This window comes from Homo sapiens, chromosome 9 (genome assembly GCF_000001405.40).
Source record: "Homo sapiens chromosome 9, GRCh38.p14 Primary Assembly".
In the NCBI taxonomy this organism is placed as follows: domain Eukaryota; kingdom Metazoa; phylum Chordata; class Mammalia; order Primates; family Hominidae; genus Homo; species Homo sapiens.
The window spans coordinates 91,117,321-91,136,486 of record NC_000009.12 but is presented as its reverse complement, the minus strand read 5'-3'; the positions used below and the strand labels follow the sequence as shown (position 1 = coordinate 91,136,486).

Sequence of the window (19,166 nt, the reverse complement as noted above, 5' to 3'; positions counted from 1 at the left end):
ATGTTTGTGAGGCTTCCCCAGCCACGTGGAACTGTAAGTCCAATTAAACCTCTTTCTTTCATAAACTGCCCAGTCTTGGGCATGTCTTTATCAAGAGTGTGAAAATGGACTAATACAAGTGGGTTACTGTCTGTGTTTTCACACCAGCAGCCTCCATGGGGCAGGCTCTGTGCTGGGCATTGGAGATAAACCTGATGTATAAATTCCACATAATCACCCAGGGCTCAGGGTGTGGTGACTGCCCTCAGGTCCCACAGCTGAGACCCCGCAGAGCCAGACGTGGAAGTCCGTCTGTCTGACTCCATGCTCTATGCTGTTATTACTTATTTTCCAATAAACTAATACCCACCTGCAGGCAGCATGGGGAGAGGAAAAGCACACTGCTCCCACTCAAACAGTTAAACACTTTTTCTTGTGGTAAAACATACATAACAGGACACCTATGATTTTAATCATTTTAAGTGTACTAATCAGTGGCATTAAGTACATTCACACTGTTGTGTAACTATCCACCATCATCCATCTCTACAACTTTTCATTTCTCAAACTGAAACTCTGTTCCCATTAAACACTAACTCCTCACTCTCCCCTAGCCCCTGGCAACCCCCACTCTACTTTCTGTCTCTGTGAGTCTGACTACTCTAGGGACCTTATATAAGTGGAATCATACAGCACTTGTCCTATTGCGACTGGCTTATTTCTTTTCTCTTCTTTGTTTTTTAGATGGAGTCTCGCTCTGTTGCCCAGGCTGGAGTGCAGTGGCACGATCTCAGCTCACCACAACTTCTGCCTCCTGAGTTCAAGCGATTCTCCTGCCTCAGCCTCCCAGGTAGCTGGGACTACAGGTGTGCGCCACCATGCCTGGCTAATTTTTGTATTTTTAGTACAGACCGGGTTTCACTATGTTGGCCAGGCTTGTCTTGAACTCCTGACTTCAGGTGATCTGCCCGCCTCGGCCTTCCAACATGCTGGGATTACAGGCATGAGCCACTGCGCCCAGCCTTCAACTGGCTTATTTCAGTTAGCATAATGTCCTCAGGGTTCATCCATGTTATAGCATGTGTCAGCACTTCTTTCCTTTCCAAGGCTGAGTACGATTCAACAGTACATAAATATAAATATATATACACTATATATATATGTACACACACACACACACACACACACACACACCACATTTTGTTTGTCCACGTGTCCACTGATGAACTCTTGGGTTCTTTCCACCTTCTGCTTCTTGCAAATAATGCTGCTACGAACATGGGTGTACAAATATCAGTTCAAGTCCTGTTTTCAATTTTTGGGAAATATACCCAGAAGTCGAATTGCTGGATCATGTGAGAATTCTATGTTTAATTTTTTGACAAATGTTCACACAGCTTTAAAATGCTACTTTAAGAAACATGTTCGGAGCAGGCAATATTTTCTTTTGACTATGCACAAGAGGGGAAATTTTTGTCATCCAGAGATTGACATTTTTTCTTTTTAAAACAATAAAATTGTCATTCAAAAGCAAACCTGGTGAATAAGGTAGAGGGTGACTTTGAGAGTTGATTTGTGGCAAACATTTAGATGTGAGATTTACTTTTTGTGAAGTGCCTTCTAGTTAAGTGAGCAATATTTACTCTGTAGGGACTGATCATTCCAATACAAATATTCACCAGAGGCAAGAGTAAGAAATACTTAAGAACCAGAATAATATCTCCCTCAGGGGCTTTTAGGAGACTAGAATGAGAGGTTCATAAAATTCACCTAGCACAGCACTTGGCACAGAGCAGGCACTCTGCAAACGCTAGCTCCTTTTCTATCTTATTCCGGAGTAGAAGAGATGCAGGCCTGGGAACTGGCAGGTAGAAACCTGTTTTGTTAAAGGAAACAGGCCCAGATGCCACAGGCAATCATGAGGCTCTTTAATCCAGGTTAGATGTCAAAGGTCATGCAGCAGAGACGGTTCCATGATAAATTGCCTATATGTGTAAGACAATTTGTTAAAACCCAATAGCAATGATTACATTTGGCAACAAAATACTGTTTCCCTCCTTAAAACCCAACAGCAGGCCGGGCGCGGTGGCTCACGCTTGTAATCCCAGCACTTTGGGAGGCCGAGGCAGGCGGATCATGAGGTCAGGAGATCGAGACCACGGTGAAACCCAGTCTCTACTAAAAATACAAAAATTAGCCGGGTGTGGTGGCGGGTGCCTGTAGTCCCAGCTACTCGGAGAGGCTGAGGCAGGAGAATGGCGTGAACCTGGGAGGCGGAGCTTGCAGTGAGCCGAGATTGCGCCACTGCACTCCAGCCTGGGTGACAGAGCGAGACTCCGTCCCAAAAAAAAAAAAAAAAACAACCAATAGCAAGTATTACATTTGGCAACAAAATCCTCCTTCCCCCTCTTCCTTCCTTCCTTCCTCCTTTATGAATAATACTTATTATTATAGATACTTACTGAAAGTTTACTATGTGTATTAGTCTGTCTTCATGCTGCTGATAACGACATAACAGAGACTGAGTAATTTATAAAGAAAAAGAGGTTTAATGGACTCTCAGTTCCACGTGGCTGGGGAGGCCTCAGAATCATGGCGGAAGGCAAAAGACACGCCTTACCTGGTGGCAGGCAAGAGGGAATGAGAGCCAAGTGAAAAAAGGAAACCCCTTATAAGACCATCAGATCTTGTGAGACTTATTCACTACCAGGAGAACAGTATGAGGGAAAACTGCCCCCATGATTCAATCATCTCCCACCAGGTCCCTCCCACATTATATGGGAATTATGGGAGCTACAATGCAAGATGAGATTTGGGTGGGGACACAGCCAATCCATATCACTATGTGCCAAGCTTAGGATACAATATTGAAAAACCAAACAAAAATTTTCGCCTTTATGGAGCCTTATGTGTAGTGAACTAAACATCAGAAATAACAGAAAATTTGATTTTCTATTTGCAGATGATGTGATTACATATTTAGAAAACCTCAGGGCTTTTGCCAAAATAAATAATAGAATTAGAATATTTTAAGAGGTAGCTGGAAACAAAATCAACAGTATCTTCTCTTTTTTAGTAGCAGCTAGTTTTCTCATGGGAGTGAGATTAAAACATCTCCCCAAACCTAAAATCCCTAGAAAATAAATTTTACCAAAAAGTTCAAGACATACTCAGAGAAAGGTATAAATCTCTGTGTAGGATGTAGATCAATTCTTGAGTAAATAGAGAGCAATTCCATACTTCTGGAGGGGAATATTTAAATCTTAAAAATGTGAATAGTTGAAAAAATATATATATATTATACAAAACTGAAGTTTGTGCTTATACATTTTGAAGATATTTAACATACTGAAAACATTAATAAATTGTATATCTTTATTTTACACATGTGATGCAATATGAAATATAATGCCAATAAAATGTATTTGAGTTGAGCGGAAATTATTTTAAATTTCCTAAAGAAAAATAAATGAGTAAGAATTGCCAAGAAAACTTTAGAAAAGAAACATGGTATTGGGCAGCCTGCTCTACTTAATAGTAAAACTTATTATACTCTAAAGCTACTGTAATCAGAGTAGAATGGGTAGGAAAAAAATGAAAGAGGCCCATAGACCAGAAATAGGTCCAAATATATATGGGATTTTAATATATTTTCTTTTCTTTCTCTTTCTTCCTTTTTTCTTTCTTTCCTTTTTCTTTTCTTTCTTCCTTTCTTTCCTTCCTTCCTTTCTTCGTTCCTTCCTTGCATCCTTCCTTCCTTCCTTTTTCTTTCTTTTTCTTTCTTTTTCTTTCTCTTTCTTTCCCTTCCTTCTCCCTTCGCTCCCTTTCCTTCCTTCTCCCTTTCCCTCCCCTCCCCCCCTCCCCTCCCCTCCCTTCCCCTTCCTTTCCCTTCCCTTCCTTCTACACAGTTTTGCTCTATCACCTAAGCTGGAGTGCAGTGGTATAATCCTGGCACACTGCAACCTCCGCCTCTTGGGTTCAAGTGATTCTCGTGCCTCAGCTTCCTGAGTAGCTGGAATTACAGGTGCACACCACCACGCCTGCCTAATTTTTGTATTTTCAGTAGAGATGGGGTTTCGCCATGTTGGCCAGGCTGGTCTTGAACTCCTGGCCTCAAGTGATCCACCTGCCTCAGCTTCCCAAAGTGCTGGGATTACAAGCATGAGTTACCTTACCCGGCTGGGAATTTAATATATGTTAAAGCAACATTTTAATTGAGTGAGACACAGTCGGCCCTGCAAAAAATCCTTGCCGAATGAATGAAGGCTTGTGAGAGTTTGAGGGAAGAAAAAGGCTCTCCATGCATTGCTAGTGGGAATGCGATTGTTAAAATAGTTATGGAAAGTAATACAAGAGTATTTATTAAAATAAGAATGTTTCATCATAACAATCCTTCCTTTTAGAGACTGTTCTTCAGGAACAAAAATGCCAATAGATAAAGATATATTTATTGCTTATAATGGCAAAAAGTGGAAATGATACAAATATTCATCAAAAAAAGATTGGTCGACTAAACCAGAATACAATCATACTATAGAATATCGGAATAGAATGCAGCTCTCTAAACGTTAGGTAGAATTCTATATCTCTGTATCCAAGAAATACCCATGATGAATTGTTAAATGAAAAAGCAAGTTTCAGAATATGATAATATTTGTGATCTGAGTCCATTTCTCTGTGCGTGTAGGAGAGAGAACCACAGGCCTCTGTGGTCCGTATGTGCACGGTGAGCGTGCAGGAGGCTGCATGCCAATGCTGTCAATGGGGTGGGGATGAACTGTGGCAGGATGAGTCATTTATTGCTGTTTCCTTTATACATGTTCTTTCTTTGACTTATTACAATGAGCACGTACTACTTTCGTCATTTCATAAAATCCAGTAACAGCTTCTCTGCAAAGCCCTCCAAATAAATAAAAAGTCTGTGTCCTTCCAAGAGCGGTACTGAAGTGGTTTAAAGCTCCCCAACTCTGGCTGGCACTGGACAGGAGCCTGGGGGTTGACCGGGGGAATGGGGAGAAGGAAGATTCAGGCTCTATCCTGGTGACAAGGGAGCATACCTGAGCTTGCCTGACCCAGATGTCTTTTTCTGTAGTAACTTTTAATTTTGATATACTTTTAGACTTACAGAAAGGTTGCAAAAAAAAAAAAATCAGAGTGACTATATAACCTTCATCTATAAAAAATCAGGGGCCAACACTGGTGTAATGCTATTAACTACAGACTTCATTTAGGTTTTCCCATGTTCCTGTAACATCATTTAGCTGTCCCAGGATCCAATCCAGATCCCACAGTGCACTGAGCTCTTGCTCCTTAATATACTCCAATCTGGGATAGCTTCTCAGTCTTTCCTTGTTTCTCTTGATCTTGACACTTTTGAAGGGCACTGGTCAGTTATTTTGAAGAACGTCTTTCAATTTGGGTTTGTCTGATGTTTTCTTATGATTTGATGGAGAGTATGAGTTTTAGGCAAGAAGACCTCAGAAGTGCCTTTGTCAGTGCAGTGCAGCAGGGGCACGTGATGTAATATGTGTCATTGTTGGTTTTGTTAGCCTTGATCATTGGGTTAAGGTAGTGTCTGCTTCATTGCTTAGTGCACAAGTAGTAAATATCAATAAAAAATGTAAGACATAAGAAATACAATAAGAAATTATAAAGTAAACATAAATAAGAACTAGTTTTCCTTTTCTATTAATTTTTCCCTTTGTATGAATAGACATCTATATTTTTCACTCTGATTAATAGACATTTTGTGGGGAGATACTTTGGCACTAGGCAAATATCCCTTTTATCCACAAACATTTGGCAGACTTTGCCTGCAACCACCATTACTGTGGTGTTCACCAAATGATGATTTTGTATTTTCCTTATTCTTTCTGCATTTGTTAGTAGAATTCTTCCATATGACCTCTCTCTCCTCCCCCATTTACTTACCCATTTTATTCTGTTATTTATTCTACTCGTATGGACTCAAGATATTTATTTTATTCTATGTGACAAAGACATCTTATGACCAGTTTAAGTAAGGGACTTATGGACTATCTTCAATTGTCTCTCTGTGTGTGTATGAGTGTGTGTATAAGAGAGAGAATATGTAAATGGCATTTATGCAAGGTTTTATAGGGACACATCTCATTGTGATGAAAATACAGAACTTGCTTTCAAAATCAAAAGAATAGCTTTAAAATTGTGAAAAACTCTATCATAATAGGGGGTATTTTGACATATATGATTATATCCCATTAACCTAAGAGATCTGAGGTTACAGGAAAATAAATGTGTAACTGGACTCGATGCTGAAGGGCTTAGGAAAGCCCTGAAAGGAACAAATTGGTTTAGAAGGCACTTCCTGAGCAGAAAACAACCAGGAACATAGAAAAAGTGAAGAGCGAGCTTGATCCTGCTCATAGCCCCGTGCTGTGCTATGGTCCTGGGGCCTAGTTCACAGGGTAAATTCTGGGGTCAGGCTGGTGAGTGCCTCTCCTCTGGTGCCTTAACCTCCTCCTCTGTAAGATGGCAAGCATAGTATGATCTACTGCATGGGGTGTTGTGAGACCGGATGGGAATTATTGCCTACAAGGTACTTACAAGAGCTCCTGGCACATGGCCGGTGCCCAGTGCCAGTAGCTGCTAGTTTTTTTTTTTTTTTTTGAGATGGAGTCTCACTCTGTTGCCCAGGCTGGAGTGCAGTGGCTCTATTTCGGCTCGCTTCAACCTCCGCCTCCCGGGTTCAAGTGATTCTCCTGCCTCAGACTCCTGAGTAGTTGGGATTACAGGTGTGCACAACCACCCCCACTAAAATTTTTGTATTTTTAGTAGAGATGGGGTTTCACCATTTGGCCAGGCTGGTCTCGAACTCCTTTTAATACCCTGCCATACATCCTTGCTCACTTGAAGTGGCTTGAGTGAGTTCTGTTCTTTGCAAGTGAGCACAGACAGGTCATGATAGACTTGGAAACTTCTCTTGGCATTAGCTACATATCTGCATACCAGCTGTACAGTTTCATTAAAATACTGACAAGACGATGGCATTGCATGTAGACCTGCTTATTTTGTATGATGATCTTGGTTCCACTTACAATGAAAATATGCCTCCTTTGTGGCTGGGTGTGGTGGCTCACTTCTGTAATCCCAGCACTTTGGGAGGCTGAGGCAGGCAGATCACGAGGTCAAGAGATCAAGACCATCCTGGCCAACATGGTGAAACCCGTCTCTATTAAAAATATAAAAATTAGCTGGGCGTGGTGGCGGGCGCCTGTAGTCCCAGCTACTCGGGAGGCTGAGGCAGGAGAATCGCTTGAACCCAGGAGGTGGAGGTTGCAGTGAGTCGAGATCGTGCCATTGCACTCCAGCCTGGGCAACAGAGCGAGACACTGTCTCCAAAAAAAAAGAAAAGAAAAGAAAAAAGAAAATATGCCTCCTTTGCTGATAAACAGATAATAAATGTAGTACTCAAATTTCTGTCTAACTTTCTATAGGCAGCTTCTCCAATTCCAGAGAGTACTGAATATTAGGCCATAATTGGATTTTACAATAATTGGATTTTACAATAATTTTGGAGGAAAGAAGAGCTCAGGGAAGAGCCCATAACTCATGCCAACTTGGAAAATGGATGAAATAGATGGAAAGAAAGTTGATTATAACTTTAAAAGGACATTAATATTATGCAAGATGTTTAAAGGGCAATTGCCTCTATAGATTATGAAGCAATTTAGGAAACAGATCCACAAGTATTTTAGAAATACATTTTTTCTTTAAGAAGAAATTATTAACTATGCCTCGCTCCCCCTCTGGTTGTCAGTCACTTAACTGAGTTGTCTCAATATTTTATTTAAATGTGATCCCCATTTGTCAGACTTGAGTGTTTCAAGAATTGTGTTGTGGAGTCTCTTGAGAGAGAAGCCCATTCTAAATGGTCCCACTAATGTAATATTTATGCTAATGCAAATGCTATAAAGACAGTTGGAACATCCCTTTGGACACTGTGTGAATGAGTATCAGCATAGCTGTACCTGACAGTGATTTTTGTAAACTGAGAAACTCTGTGAGACCTAGGTAGGGCTGAAGGAATGAGATGCATAGATTTACACTCTGACATCATGTGTTATCCCCCAAAACATATATAAACACACACAATTATGCACATTTGCATACACCCTTACACACTTACATCCACAAAGATATATACCATTCATGTATACATACACACACAAGCACGTATACATGGAAAAACACGAACATACACATGTATATACATTCACATTTATATACATCCACATACATACCCACAAACATGTACATGCACACACTCATATAAGCATATATAGTCATGCATTGCTTAACGATGTGGATCTGCCTAAGAAATGCATCATTAGGTGATTGTGTCCTTGTGCGAACATCATAGTGTACTCACACAAACCTAGCTGCATACACACTTAGGCTGTCTAATATAGCCTATTGCTCCTAGACTATAAACCTGTTCGGCATGTTACTTTATTGAAAATTGTAGGCAACTGTAATACAATAGCAAGTATTTGTATATTGAAACAATATAAACATAGAAAAGGTACAGTAAAAATACAGTCTAAAAAATAAAAAATGGTACACCTGTATAGGACACTCACCATGAATGGAGCTGGCAGGGTTGCAAGTTGCTCTGGGTGAGTCAGTGAGTGGGGGTGAATGTGAAGGCCTAGGACATTACTGTATACTCAAGCAGACATTATAAATACTGTACACTTAGACTACACTAAGTTTATTAAAAATTTTCTTTCTTTAATAATTAATTAACCTTAGCCTACCATAACATTTTTACTGTCTAAACTTAAATTTTTTTAAAAAACATTTTTACTCTTTTATAATAATTCTTTGCTTAAGACACAAACACATTGTATAGCTGGACAAAAATATTTTCTTTCTATCCCTATTCTATAAGCTTTTTTCTATTTTAAAATGTTTAATTTTTTAAACCGTTTGAATTGTTTTGTGAAAAAAAAAAAAAAAACCAAGACACAAACACATACATTAGCCGAGGCCTCCACAGGGTCAGTATCATCCATATCACTGTCTTCCACCTCCACTTCTTGTCCCACTGGAAGGTCTTCAGGGACAGTAACACGCATGGAGCTGTCATCTGTGCGCATGGAGCTGTCATCTGTGATAACAATGCCTTTTTCTGGAGTCCCTCCTGCAGGACCTGCCTGAGGCTCTTCTTGAGGAGATGTCACTCTTTTCAGAAACACGATCATGATGGTTTGCTTGGTTTGTTTCTTCTTTTCATCACAGATTTGCGTCAGCAATGCGTTGGTCACTAGATGATAGGAATTTTTCAGCTGCACTGTAACCTAAGGGACCACCGGACCCTATGTGGTCCAGTGTTGACCCAGACGTCACTATGCGGCACTTGACTGCACACACATAAAGCATGAACACACACATCGCATTGCCTAGTTTGACCTGGGTGCCTGTATTTTTTGTATCTGTAGACAGCAGCATTTTAAGATTTATGTTTACATCAGTACTTAGGCTGTTCCTGGTGACTCCTGATGATGCAAGCATCCAAACTTCATCCTGGAATGTGCAGCTGGTGGTGAGGACAGGCACCTCAGGGGTTGCAGTGAGAGCAGCGGTTGCAGCCTACAGAGTGCTCATAGGGTGCCAACCCTGGCCTTGAGCACCATGCATGTGATTTACTTGTTACAATGGAACCATGAAGCAGACATGGCTATTTCACCATCTCATGGTTAAGGACATGCAGTCTGCAGAGTCTCAATAGTTTGCCCTGGGTCACACATGGAGAGTGGACATTGGCTCCAAACCCCTAATCCACTTATCCAGGCCACCTTGGCACCCTGACCCCTTAGAACCTGGGGCTTTCTGCTTAAAGCCCATAAACAGATCGCAGTTCCCATGGGGCCTGAGCCACAGGTACAAGGGCCCCTGGTTCTATCACTTACTTTTGGTAAATTCTCCACTTTAAACAAGAGCTGCCTGGTATGTACCTAGGAGACCACATTTTTATTTGAGGAAAATATTACTGGAAATTGGGGCAAGGTTGCTCAATGGAATAAAGGGTGCCCACTTTGTGTGTGTTTTGTGGTGGTGTTTTGTTTTGTTTTGTTTTTGAGACAGAGTCTCACTCTGTCGCCCAGGCTGTAGTGCAGTGGCACCATCTAGGCTAATTGCAACTTCCACCTCCCAGTTCAAGTGATTCTCCTGCCTCTTTTTGTATTTTTAGTAGAGACAGGGTTTTACCATGTTGGCGAGTCTTGTCTCAAACTCCTGGCCTCAAGTGATCTGCCCACCTCACCTCCCAAAGTGTTGGAATTACAGGCGTGAGCCACCGCGCCAAGCCTTAAGTATGCCCTCTTTGGGTGGCAGGGCAAACCTAAATTGAAGAGCTACTGGATGCCAAGCCTGGCCTGTCTCCAGTGTGATGTATATTTGTGCTTTGCTCTCTGTTTAGGCTGGGGATCTGCTTAGAAGAAAGTGCATATTTTAAATGGTACCAGAAACAGAGAACATAAAACATAGCCAGGGGAGGAAAAAAACCCACAGAACAGGAATCAGCCTATTCCTAAGCCCAAATGGAATCACTTGAAAACTGTTACTGCTCTATACATTTCTAAAGAGTGAATTATTGATTTTTCTGTTAAAAAAGTTGTATATGGAATTATGATGACTGACTGAACTCATGTATCTACCATCATTTCAACCCCAATTCCCACAAAATGACAAGAAAAGAAAATTTTAAAATAAAATCCTTAGTGATGCAGGAAAATAAAAGAGTGCCATGGGGTAAGAGAGATCTTGAACAGTTTCTGAAAGACAGAACGCAAACAGGATGAACTCCCATGAAAAATAAAGCCAGAGCAAAATGAATACTGGAGAAAACAATGTGAGGCAGGAGGGTTTGGGGAGATCAGGCCCAAGGTCAGTGAAATGCAAAACTATAGCAGACAAACAACAGACATTGTTAGGCACCAAGAACTCAGAAAATGTACCACTGATGGACCGTCTATGATGGATTTTTTTTTAAAGAAATGTGCGTGAGCAAAACAAAAATAAATACAAAGGAAACATGAAGACTACACCAGAAGCGGTGAGCAAATAAACTTGAAAACGAGTAAACATGCCTAATGATCACAAGATGGCTGCCATAGCTCTAGATCTTATGCTCTTACATCAGTGTCCTATGCAGGAGCAAAATGTCAGCAAGGCCTCTGTTAAGAAATGCTGGCTTAGATTTAATCATCATTTGTCTCCTAGCATGGGCATATTGCTACCCCTGAAAAAAATATCAGGGTGTATGGGCAAATAAAGTGGAGTGGAATAACTGCTGGGTGGGCAGTTTGACAAGGGAGACAAAAAAAAAAAAAAAAGGATGTAGAAGAGTAGAATAGCATAATTAACAAGCTTAACTATAAATGTATATAAATCTATACATACAGACACATTTCTCTTATGCCAACAAAGACCATACCCTCTTCTCAAACACAAACAGAATATCCACAAAAATTGTTGCTAAGGTAGAACACAGAGAACATCTTAAGAAATTCCAAAATCAAAAAATCAGATAAGCCACCTTTTCTGAACAGACTGCAGAAAAAGTAAGCATTAATATCAAAAGGCTGGCAAAATGGTTCTATTTCAATATTTTAAAACACCCCTTAAGATAAAAAAGAAAATAAAAACTAAATAACTGCAGTTAGTTATGGATTGAAAAATGAATGTCCATGAGAGTACCACGTCATGAAAGACATGGACAAAGCAGTCATCAGAGGAAAATTTGTAGCTCTCAATCCTGGTGCTAGAAAACAAGAGAGGCAGAAAAAAATAATAAAATAAGTGCAAAGATAGCAAAAGTAAGAAAATAATAAAAATAAAAGTAAACATCAGTGAAAGAGAGTATAAACAAGCAGAATGGTAGTGCTTTGAAAATAAAAAATAATTTAAATAAATTTCTGGCCATTCTGAACAAGTAAAAAACAAAAACAGTAAGCAGACCCAGGCATAAATGAAAGCATTTGAAGTGAAAAGGTGTCCAAAATTGAAGTTATAAAAAGATTAGAACTGAATACAGCTCTATGTCAATATTTTTGAGACTTTAGATGAAAGTAATGCTAATCCAGGAAAATATAAATTACAGTAGAATCCCTCTTATCCAACACAGTCCAGGCCAATAATCAGTTGGTTAAGTGAAAAAAGTGTTTAAAGTGAAGAATTATAAAGAAAGTCATTATGGATCTCAAACTTTTACTTTAATTGAAACCATAAAAACATATATTCACTCACCAATGTTTTATGCAGGGTTAATGCCTTCTCTTTAAAATTGGACTTCTGATTGGATTTCTACCTCATTTTTCTTATGTAAACACTTATAGTTCACTTTTGATATTTATGGGTTTTGATTTTTGAAACAAAGGGAAAATGTTAAAACATATACTGTTCAGTAATGCCACCTAATCCATGCGGGATATGTCCCAGGACCCCTAGTGGATGCTTGAAACCACAGATACCAAACATGATTACTGTCAGTCGGAACATTTTTTTTTTTTTTGGAGACAGAGTCTTGCTCTGTTGCCCAGGCTGGAGTGCAGTGGCGCCATCTCGGCTCACTGCCAGCTCCGCCTCCTGGGTTCACGCCATTCTCCTGCCTCAGCCTCCCAAGAAGCTGGGACTACAGGCGCCCGCCACCAAGTCCAGCTAATTTTTTGTATTTTTAGTAGAGACGGGGTTTCACCATGTTAGCCAGGATGGTCTCGATCTCCTGACCTCCTGATCTGCCCACCTTGGCCTAGTCAGAACACATTTTTGTTTAAGTCTTCCATCCACAGATGTAATGCCTTTCCCACCTTAACTAAATACTTATCAACACTGCGGCCATAACTTTTGCAGCTGGAGGTATGACAGCAAAAGTAGCACAAATTTCTTTTTCCCTCTTTACAATTTTACAGATAGCAGGTTCATTCTTACCGCAGATCTTAGCAACATAAGCATAGTATTTGTTAACCTTATTAAGTTGAGAACTTTCACCTTTTCACTTAAAGGAAGCACTTTATGGCTTCTCTTTGGCATATTTGAGTTGTCAGCATCACTACTCTTGCCCTCTGGGGTCACTATTAACCAAAATAAGAGTAACTTGAACACAGGGCACTGTGATGCTGATACCATGACAGTCAATCTGCTAAACAAGATGGCTACTAGGTGACCAACAGGTGGGGAGTATCTACAGCTGGATAAAAGATTATTTAAATCCTGGGCCGGATGGAGTGGGACAGCAAGAGAATTCATCATGCCACTTAGAACAGTCTGCAACTTAGAATTTATAAATTGTTTACTTCTGGAATTTTCCACTTAATATTCTTGGACCATGGTTGACTTTGGGTAATGGAAACTGAGGAAAGGGAAACGTCAGATAAAGGGGGCACAATTGTACTCCAATTGTGGAATTCTTGTAAATCAGAGCTTCTCAAACTTCAATGTGCAAACAAGTGTCTTGGGGATCTTGTTAAAATGCAGAGTCTGACTCAGTAGGTGTGGGTGGGGTTCTGAGATTTGGCATTTCTAACAGGCTTCCAGGTGATACTGGTGCATGGGCCACACTTTGAGTAATAAGGATATAAATTCCTGCATCCACCCATTGTTTCCAGTTGTATTAGAACATTTAAGTACCAATCATTTATCTAAGTGACTCAATTATATCTAGTCCTCCTAAAGTATTCAACTTAGTCTTCATGAAAATGAAAACTCTTTTTTTTGGCAACTATTCCATTGGTCTATATAATGTTAAATTAAATAAAATAATTATACAGGTATACTTGTAAATAAATTTGAGAGCAAACACAGCTGAAAGCTGTAAGCATTCATCTTAAATCATGGAAGCAGAGGGTAGAATTATAACAGAAAGTAACCTATAGGCCTACCAAAGTATCCAGCTTGTTGTGAGAATCCTCCCTTCAAAAACACTTTACCCTGTCCCTGAAAAAGTCCCAGACCCAGAGGTTATAGGTAGGTTTTACCAAATTTGCAAGGAATAAGTATTCCCTATCTTACATATGTTTTTTTCAGTAAGTAAAAAATGAGACATATGTTCTGCTTTGATTTGAATGCTTGAGCCCTTTGAAACTCATGCTGAAATTTCATTGCCACTGTAATAGTATTAAGAAGAGGGGCCTTTGAGAATTATGTCATGGGGGCACCATAAGTGGGTCAATGCTGTTATCTCGGGAGTGGAATGACCCTTGCCAGAGGCCATCAACATGCTATTGGACTTACCAGCCTTCAGAACCATGAGCCAAAAAACTTATTTTCTTTATAAATTATCCAGTCTGTGGTATTCTGTTACAGCAACAGGAAATGGACAAGACATGTGTATTAGTCTGCTCTCATGCTGCTAATAAAGACATACCCAAGACTGGGTAATTTATAAAGGAAAGAGGTTTAATTGACTCACAGTTCCACATGGCTGGAGAGGCCTCATAATCAGGGTGGAAGACAAAGGAAGAGCAAAGGAACTTCTTACATGGCAGCAGACAAGAGGATGTGTGCAGGGGAACTGCCCTTTATACAACTATCAGATCTTGTGAGACTTATTCACTATCATGAGAACAGCATGGGAAAGACCCCCCCCCCCCATGATTCAATTACCTCCCACCGTGTCCCTTCCATGACACCTGGGAATTATGAGAGCTACAATTTAAGATGAGATTGGGCTGGGGACACAGCCAAACCATATCAACATGTCCCAACTCATTGTATAAAGTTCATATAATCCTTATCCCAAACTAGGTAAGAGTACAAGAAAAAAAAATCATATAATTATGGTTTATATAATTATGAACATAAATATGAAAATTCCAAGTAAATTTTAGCTCACTGATTTTAATTTTATAATAAAGAAGTAAAATATTATGAAGAATCAGGACTAATATCTCGAATGTAAGAATGGTTCAATATCAGAAAATCTACTGACATAGTTTATCCCCTTCATGGACAAAGGAGAAAAACTATGTATTCTCTCAATGGATATAAAATTATTTTAAAATATTCAATATTTTTTCCTAATTAAGGAAAAATCCTTGCTCACTTATTAATAGAAAATATTCCGGCCGGGCGCGGTGGCTCACGCCTGTAATCCCAGCACTTTGGGAGGCCGAGGCGGGCGGATCACGAGGTCAGGAGATCGAGACCATCCTGGCTAACACGGTGAAACCCCGTCTCTACTAAAAATACAAAAAAAAAATTAGCCGGGCGAGGTGGCGGGCGCCTGTAGTCCCAGCTACTTGGGAGGCTGAGGCAGGAGAATGGCGTGAACCCCAGGGGGCGGAGACTGCAGTGAGCCGAGATTGCGCCACTGCAGTCCAGCCTGGGCGACAGCGAGACTCTGTCTCAAAAAAAAAAAAAAAAAAAAAAAAAAAGAAAATATTCCCTCAACCTAATAGAGGCTATCTATTGGAAATCTACAGTTGAACCTTAAAGAACACAAATCATTTTGAATAAATAGAAAGACCTATCATTTTCCTGAAAGGATGCCTGAATATTATAAAGATTGCAATTCTTCCCAAATAATATAAACTCATTTCAATCACAATAAAAATTCAAAGATTTCTCTTTTTAGTTGGAATTGTCAAATTGATTCTCAAGTTTATATGCAAAAGAAAATGCACAAGAATAGCTGTTCGGAAACATTTGGAGAAGACAAGTAACAGACAGGGAGATTTTATCAAACAAATAAATAGTATCCGGAATGTATAATGAGCATCCACAAAACCATAAGAACAATGCAAACAACGAAACAGAAAAATTGACAAAATAAATAGGCTATTTACAGAAAACGAAATACAGGTAGCTAATAAACATATATAAAAATGTCCAGTCTCAGGAAATTGCAAATTCAAATCAGGGCTCGTTTGTTTGGGTGTTTAGCCATTGGATTAGAAACAACAGGAAGAATTGTTAAATACATTATATTCCATCCACTTAAGGAAAAAGATATGTTAAATAATTGTATTCCATCCATTTAAGAAAAAAGATAGCTCTCTATCAAATATAGCAAACACACAAAGAAGAACATGTACCTGTAAACTCTAAGTGTGTGTACATAAGAAAAAAGTCAGTGCATCTAGACATGCCAGTGCCCAGCCTAGACACACTGGGCTGTTAACCCAGGCCCAGTGGGGCAGAAGGGTGGGCCAGGCACAGTGCCTTGTACAATTTGCTCAGGACACTAGTATGTTATTGAATCTCTGGCATGAGGATCTATTAATAGATTTTTTTAAGTGCCCTAGCCAAATTCTATGTCTTCTAGAAAAATATTCTGCTTCTGTTGTTCCTTTAGAGAGCTGTTCAGCATAGAATCTAGACGTTTCCTTCTGAAACAAATCCAGTAACTATTCAACTATCAAATTTAGCATTCTGGCTGTATAGAAAAATAACAATGCTATATTAAGTTACCACTGTGAAGTAGGTGGCCAAACTGTATATGTGACATTCTTAGTTTTTCAACAAACTGAATATGCCTGAGGCACGTTTCCTGAATGCTTCTTCTTCCAACAGCCAAAGCATGATATTATCATCTACACAATTTACATTCCCAGAATGGAAGTTTGCATTCCGACAAGGGAAAAGGCTCTGAGGCCCAGGCCCCTGCCCCGCTGCATGCCATATATTTTGGGAGAGTCATCCTTTCTCAGGAACATGGTTTGCAACTATGTTCAGAGGGAATAGTATGAGTCACCTCCTCCCAGGGCTTTTCAAGAATCAATAAAATGAATTTGAAACAAACAAAGATTTGATCCAACATGAATACTGATTTTAACAACTTGTTTTGATTCCCTTGACTTTTTCCATTTCTAATTTTAGAACGGAATGAAATTATTTTTGAATGCATGTTTATGAATTTTCTGGCCACTTTCAAGCCTTTAACTATTTCACACTTTCTCTCTAAAGATCAAAGAAACTCTAGTAACGTGGAAATTCATGCTCCGAGTAGTGACAAGCCAGTGACTTTTTCTATAGAAAGGGTACAAGACTCCAATTTGAAAATCTCAAGCAGCTTTATATTCAAGCAAGTTCAATCCAATCTCTTCCTGACTCACTGTCTCATCAACATGCAAAGCTCTCGAAGAGAAATCATCTCTTACTTGCCTGAGGGAGTTCTGGCAGACGTTTTGAATGTGGATGTGGAAGTTCTTTCCTCGTCTCCATCCTGTCAAGAGCCGTGGAGCAAACAGCAGGATGAGGAAGACATGGAAGACAAAACTGATAACGCACGTCACCTCGCTGCAGCGGGAGACAGAATGTAACTTCAATTCAGCCTCTTTGGGGTTTGGGTTCTGACCAAGTAAATCGGGAATGTTGTTAACATATCAAGCCAGCCTTTATTGTTTGTCTTAACCCAAGAAAACACAAAATGACACTTACTTTGTTGCTCATTTAGGTTTTAACTTGTTGATGTCCTCCCCACAAAAATCAAACTTGAAAATGCCTGGCAGGGACCCCTGAGATCTAGGGTTTGAAATGCTCTTTTGACAAGTTAAGAGGTTAAAAAGAATTCAGGAACATACTGTAGAGTCTCATGGGGGATTTTAGAAAAAAAATATGCAAAGCATCTTTAAATATGTGGAAAATCCTTAGGAGTGAAATTGCACTGAAGTCAGATTGTTTTCCTATTGAGGTTGCATTGCTCGGCTGCAAGAGGTGGGGTGGGCACATCGTGGGGGGAGAGCAGAAGTGCCTGTTAGGGTGCTGCCAGACCTCAGTGTGGAATTCTGCTTCTCACAGTTGGCCATAATCAATCAATCAGACTCTCTCTTTCTCCTCCCTTCTCCCTCTCCCTTTCTTTCCGTGGTTGAAGGGCCCCTCTTAAATCGCTCTTGAGCCTGCATTCTAATTTGCTCTCTCTCCCACGTGAAATCCACTTCTCCCAGCTAAGCTGCGTTTTGCAGCTTTATGACGGTACTGAAAGCACTTTATTTCCACTTAAAGAGCTGCCTGTTCTATTTACCATCACTCTCGGGGTACTTAACCTCATTTAAAAGGCTAACTTTTCTCCTGCATTATAAAGTTGCTCGGGAGTCTCAAAGCCTCTTTCTCTGCCCAGCCCGCAGCCAGCCCTCTCCAGCCACCCCAGCCTCGCCCTCACCCCTCCCAGCCTCTGTTCCAAGGCCCAGGCGCGCCCGCGTGGGGCACGTGTCCCTGAACGCCCCGCCTCCGGCCAGCCTGACCGCTCAGTGCTCGGTGTCACTTCTGGCACGTCTCCACATTCCTCAAATCCCAGAGAGGACCTCGAAATAGGATAGAAAACAAGAATTTAAATAAGAAGCAACAGGGCTGCCCGCTCTGGCTGGGGAGGGCCTCGGCCCCCGCCTGCACCTGCGGCCCTTGTTTCTTGCGCGGTTTTGCAACGTCAGAGCCGTCCACACTCGCAGGCCATTTTTAGCGGCCTGTTGGAAAGGGAAGACGATGAAGTCGGGCTAAGCAGGGCAACGCCTTGCCCTCTGAGAGGCGTGGAGGGCCCTTGGGAAGCTCAGAGAGCTACGATAAAATGGCTAAACGACCTTCCTCTCCTCCAAGTCACCAAATACGAGGCAGGTGGGCACCAGATGGGCAAACTGAGCTTGGTAGAAGCTTGCGCCTTCCCCTTCGTGTCTTTGGTTGGGGGTGTTTCACTGGGGACTGGGCCCGTTAGACAGACGACAGATGCACCGCATCAGAGAGGAAAGTCACCTGTCTCGCAGGGAGGATGGCAGGATGGCTGCTGGGGCAGGCGGAGCCCACGAGGGTGGGGCCGGGAGATCCTGCTCGTTTTGCCGGGTTGGCCTCTGCCGAGCCCGGCACCCGCAGTGCAGAGAGCACCCCGGCTGGACTTCCCTGACCGCGTCCCCGGAAGGCAGGAGCCCCTTCCCACGGCGGCCCAGGCCCCGGCTCCCTTGTGCTCGCGGGATAAGCCTCTTGGATGGATGAGCGCGCCTCCTTCCTGCTCACACTCCCAGCGCAGGCCACGGCCGGAGCTGTTTGCCCTGCACACACGGGGAGGGGCGGCCAGCTCACGGTGCAGACCAGCGGGATGGGGCTTCACTGCTTGCTACCGTCTCAGTGTCCCCTCAAATCATACCTTGAAACTTACTCGCAAATGGAATGGTATTAAGACCCAGCACTTTGGGAGGCCAGGGCAGGAGGATCACTTG

General features: G+C 41.2%; 2 long non-coding RNA genes across 3 annotated transcripts in view; one reads left to right on the top strand and one right to left on the bottom strand.

Annotated features, from left to right (window-relative positions):
* The window catches only part of LINC00484 (long intergenic non-protein coding RNA 484), a 63,701-nt gene extending 46,276 nt beyond the window's left edge, over window positions 1-17,425 (bottom strand). The window contains exons 1-2 of the long non-coding RNA NR_135306.1: window positions 17,401-17,425; window positions 17,125-17,259 (exon numbers count right to left, since the gene is read on the bottom strand). This is a non-coding gene — a long non-coding RNA (long intergenic non-protein coding RNA 484). The remainder of the gene's footprint in view (window positions 1-17,124; window positions 17,260-17,400) is intronic.
* Window positions 1-19,166, top strand: part of LINC02937 (long intergenic non-protein coding RNA 2937) — an 86,180-nt gene that overhangs the window by 26,794 nt on the left and 40,220 nt on the right. The window contains exon 2 of one of the 2 annotated variants that reach the window (NR_184106.1): window positions 16,927-17,349. The exons of the other annotated variant lie outside the window; for it this stretch is intronic. This is a non-coding gene — a long non-coding RNA (long intergenic non-protein coding RNA 2937). Of the gene's footprint in view, window positions 1-16,926; window positions 17,350-19,166 lie in introns of those variants that run through there. 2 annotated transcript variants of the gene reach the window in all.